This window comes from Homo sapiens, chromosome 14 (genome assembly GCF_000001405.40).
Source record: "Homo sapiens chromosome 14, GRCh38.p14 Primary Assembly".
Classification (NCBI taxonomy): domain Eukaryota; kingdom Metazoa; phylum Chordata; class Mammalia; order Primates; family Hominidae; genus Homo; species Homo sapiens.
In genome coordinates, this window is record NC_000014.9 from 43,866,990 (window position 1) to 43,872,215 (window position 5,226).

General features: G+C 39.3%; 1 annotated feature.

The window, feature by feature from the left end:
- Positions 4,262-4,972: an enhancer, noted in NCBI's record as "H3K27ac hESC enhancer chr14:44340454-44341164 (GRCh37/hg19 assembly coordinates)". NCBI's record gives its function as "activates a minimal SCP1, AML or CMV promoter by ChIP-STARR-seq in primed H9 embryonic stem cells {active_cell/tissue: H9 hESC(primed)}" and the evidence as "EXISTENCE:reporter gene assay evidence [ECO:0000049][PMID:30033119]".

Consider the following 5,226-nt stretch of genomic DNA (forward strand, 5'->3'; position numbering starts at 1 on the left):
ATTCCCTCTGTCACCCTAAAAACCTGAATATCTTACTGAGTTCTCCTCAAAATGTTCAACATGATCCAGCTGACCCAGCTTCAAGTTCCTAACTTCAAATGTGAATGACAGACAGTTACTATTATTGCCATCTCTACATTATCTCACTTAGAAAAGTGTTGTATTTCATTCACAATTGTTACCTATTTTTGCAAGTTTACCTGTCTCCAGCATTCTGTTCATTCAAATCCCCATTTCTTATTCATTTACTCTTATGTGATGATTCGATAGAGTGCAGGTATTTTATTTCATTGAATTTTCATATATATTTTAGTCATATTTCTTGAAGAAATTTAAATCATTAAAATATATTTAATAAGTATTGTTATTCATAGGTATGCAAGTTATGTGTTGAAATACTTCATACATTCATAAGCAGTATGCTGTGATATTGCATTTGAGGGGAATAAAAAAGTATGAGTAACTTAATATGTTATATTTCAATATAGTTGCTCAGGTATCTTAGATATATTATTTATTATTTTCTTGAAATCAGTTTAGTTTCTATTCTGAGGCTTTGTCCTGCCACATAGAGCAAAATTGTCCCAAAGTTCCAGTTTCTATACAGAGCCAGGGTGTTGGAGAAGAATCTTAGTGACTGCTAGTGGTCCCTCTTTGCTCCTGCTGAGATGCCCATTGTACAGTCTGTAGAACTCCTCCATTCTATTAGATCTGTTGTTTCCAGAACAGCATCTAGACCTCAGCAATTGCAATCCAGCCTCTAAAGCTACATCACACAGCCATCTGCTCCCTCTTCTCCAAGTCTTATCACCTTGTGATCTGTGAGGACTTGGAGAAGAGGGAACAGAACTCTGTTCTCTCTCTCTCTCTCTACTCTCTCTCTGGTAATCCCCAAACTCACCAATCAACTTTCAATTTTTTGTAATCTCTGAAAATTCTATCCATTCCCTACTTTTATATTCCTCAAATACATTCCCATAACAATCCTCTTAATGTGTTTGAACATCTACAAAAATCAAATAGAGATGTTCCATGCAACTACAGCTTTCTGCCCTGCAAAAAGTATCCAAAGCAGGGAAATACAAAGGGCATGGGTATTTGCTTGGAAGTAACAAGAAGAAGTAGGGAATATGGGGGGACAGAAATATAGAAACACACATTCCTGGCTGTACACATTACCTTAACATGTAAGCAAATATATTAGAAAAACAGGCTTTGCACGATTTTCCAAGGACACAGAGAGGATGACTGCTTTCTCACCCTGTTGTAGCCTCCTGGTTCTACAATTTTAACTCTTATTAACCCCAATTTTAAGTAGAAAACTTAGGAAGTAATTTCAACTATTTTGTAATAATATTTGTAGATGAAAAACACTTTATAATTTTTGAAACATACGTTTCTTTAATGTTTTATTAACAAATCTAAATATATTTACCTTTTGTATACTATATGGAAATAAGATGTCAAAGTATATAAACTTAAATTTATGATTAGTAATTAATATTTAATTATGTTAACTTACTTTTAAATGATTCAGACATTTTATGGTTATCTATTACTTAGCAAAACAGGATTTTAAGTTACTGAAAAGAATTTTGAAGCTATAAAGCAGGTACCCTTCCTAAAGTCTTCCCAAGTTCTATGGGGTCCCAAGTAGCCATGTGGCACCCATGGATGGCTATCGAGAGTGGGGCCCATCTGGATCTTGCATTACATACCAGGTATGAGCTCAGGACAAAGGACAGAGTTGTGAAGATGATGTCTGAAGGACCTAACCCCTCCCAGCCTGGCTAGGAGGCAAAGGTGTGCCATAGAAGATGGGGCCATACTGGGCTTGACTCTGCCTTGTAGCTGGTGGTCCAGGTGCTGAGAACATGTCCTTAGGCCTTACCATGGCCACGTGTTCAGACCTCAGAATCTAGAGGCTCAAAAACCAAAGATAAGCTTACAATCAGATGTGCACAAGGCTTCAGAGAAGCCTAGCAGCCATCCCTTAAAGCTTTAGCACACAGACAAATCCAGCACATATTAAAAGTACTACAGAAGCAATAAGCAATAGTGTTATGACCTTAATACATCTGGTAGAAACAGCCTAAACCTGTCTGGTGAGCAGTACAAGCGAAAATGTCTGAATTATGTTTAACACTGACAGTTCTGAGGATATTCCAACTTTATGTTTCCAACAATTTTAAACTAACTTTATTTAACAAAGCTTTATCCAAGGCATGTGAACTAAAAGACATTTATGTTTGTTTCTATTTTTCTGATAAAATATTTTATCTAAGCACTTATACTTTTCTTTAAGCCAATTAATTAGAGCTCTTATATTTTGGTAGTGAAATAGCACATAACATAACACATATAAACATGCAGACACAGTCAGAAGTGGATCTTATAGATTTTTAATATTCTTCATTTGCCACTTTTCAAATAGTTTTGTTCCCCCTTTTAGACTGTCAAGCTCTACATGATTATTACCTAGCAAGCAGAAATGTTTTATTTCCCAAGACATGACTTCTTAGGTGAATATTTACATATCAAAGGCACAGGATTTAGATCTAAACACCATTATTCCTTGAAATAAAAAAGGGGTAAGTAAAGGTCCAGTCAAGACAAGATTATCAGGAAAGTATCTTAAACAAAGGGAAGATTTGTAAGCCAGTATCTTTCTTTTCCTAACAGTTTCTAGTGACTTAGATACTGGAAGGGAGATACACTTAAACATGAAGATTTCTTCTATAGATGTGAATTTCTCTTACAAAGCATGTTAGAATAGCCATAAAAATTCCAGAAAGTATTTTACAGACCAATCTAGTTAGATAGGTGGCCTTTTTAACAAAGCTTGTTTCTTGATTAGATTATTGACTTTAATAAGACAAAAGGCATATTTTCTATGCCTGGACTTAGTATGGATAGCTCTGAAAAAGAAGCAAGCCTATTATACCTAATTTCTGTCTGACCGTATTTTCTGGGATCTGTTTCTCAGCTGAGCGCCTACACATAAAAGCCCAAAGGCTTCATATGCTCCAAAGATGAAAAAACAAAACAAACAAAACAAAACAAAAAAGAAAATATCAACGTCTGTCCATGGAAGGAAAAACGACCCGTAACAAATGGGTACCCCAATTAGTTCCATGACCAGGAATCCAACCTGGGCTACAGCCATAAAGGCACAGAATCTTAGTGACTAGACCATAGGGTGGAACAATTTTTGTAAGTCTTACAGGGGTTTCAAAGCAAGAAGTTTGAGCATACAAAGGATTTTAACTTTTAGGGCAGATTTACTCTTTAGTTTTGTCAAGAAAATTTCTAAGTCTAGCCATAACACTATTATGTGTCCCTTTTAAAAACTTTAATATTTTTATAAATGTGTATAAGGCAATTCTTTAGAATAAGAACTCTCAATTTTTTTTTAATTATGAGTCTAATTTAAAGTATCTATCTTGTGGCTATTAATAATTAGAATTTCCATCAATGAAGAGTCAAACGCTGTGAAATATTCGAAGAGATTTATTCTAAACTAAATATGAGTGACCATGGCCTGTGACACAGACCACAGCAGGCCCTGAGAACATGTGCCCTAGGTGGTCGGGGCGCAAGTTAGTTTTATACATTTTAGAGAGGCATGATTCATCAATCAAATACATTTAAGAAATACATTGGCTTGGTCTGGAAAGGTGGGACAACTCAAAACTGGGGGGCTTCCAGGCTATAGGTGAATTTAAACATTTTCTGGTTGACAATTGGTTGAGTTTGTCTAAAGACCTGGGATTGATAGAAAGGGAATGTTCACGTTAAGATAAAGACTGTGAAGACCAAAGTTCTTCTGAAGTTTTACAGCGGCTACCCTTAGAGACAATAGATGACAAATGTTTCCTATTCAGATCTTAGTTAATCCCTTTAGGATCTGGAGGGTCTGCAAACAAGGATAATTTGACTTCTTTCATTCCAGTTGGACACCCTTTACTTCTTTCTCTTGTCTGATTGCTCTAGCTCGGAATTCCAGTAGTGTGTTGAAAAACGCTGATGAAAGCGGACATCTCTGTTTGTTCTGAGACACCTAAAGCTGGGAGTGGAGTGATACAAGCATCCCTGTCACCACCACTACCAATACAACTGACATGAAGCTGGCACAGCACTAGGTCTCACCCAGAGCCTGCTGTAACTACTCCCTGGCTACTGCTTAAGTTTACTCAAGGCCCTGGGGGTCTGCAATTGGCAAGTGGCAAAGCCAACCAGGACAGCCCCGCGTAGGTTCAGAGGTGCCATCAAGGAGTCAGAGACAGAATCAAAAACCTTAGAAATCTACCTGGTGTTCTTTTGTGCTGTGGCTGAGCTGGCACTCAAACCACAAGATGCACTCCTGCCCACCATTTCCTCTCCTTTCCAAAGGCAGGAGAGCCTCACCTTATAGCTACTGCTCCCACAGGCCCACAGGGAGTGCTGCCAAACTACCACCAATATTCCCTTAAGGCCTAAGGGCTCTTAAGTCAGCTTGTGATGAATTCTGCCTGACCTAGGACTCACCTTTCAGGACAATGGGCTCCTGTCTTCCCCATCGCAGATCCAGAAATGCCATCCAAGGGTCAAGTTCTGGAATTGGCGATCCCACAGGCCCACTTGGTGCTCTATCCCCCTGTGGCCGTGCTGTTACCTAAGGTGCAAGACAAAGTCCCCTTTACTTTTCCCTCTGTTTTTCTCAGGCAGAACGGATCTTGCCCCATAGCCGCCACAGCTGGTAATATGCTGATTCTCACCTAAAGCCAGCTAGTTTCAGGGGCTCACCCAAGGCCTGTACTGTAGTACCTGGGTATCACTGCTGGTTATTCAGGGCCCAAGGTGACCAATGCCCCTGGACTGCATCCTTCTCTTCAAGGCAGTGGGTTCCCTTCTGGTTGTGGGTGTGTTTAGAAATGTCATCTGAGAGCTAGGGCCTGGAATGGTGCCCTTGCGACTCTGATTGATGCCCTGTCCAGCTGTGGCTTAGCTGGTATCCAAGATGCAATACAAAGTCCTCCTCACTCTTCTCTCTCCTCTTCTCAAGCAGAAGGAAGGAGTTTCTTTTTGAGCTGTGAGCTGTGCAGCTTTTGGTTAGGGGAGGGGTGATGCCAGTACTCCCTTAGCAGCTCCAGCAGGTATCTCAAAATGTCATGTACCCCCTAGTCCACTGTCTCAGCCCAGTTCAGCACTAGGACTTAGCTAAGAGTTGCAGTCCTTATGGTCTAA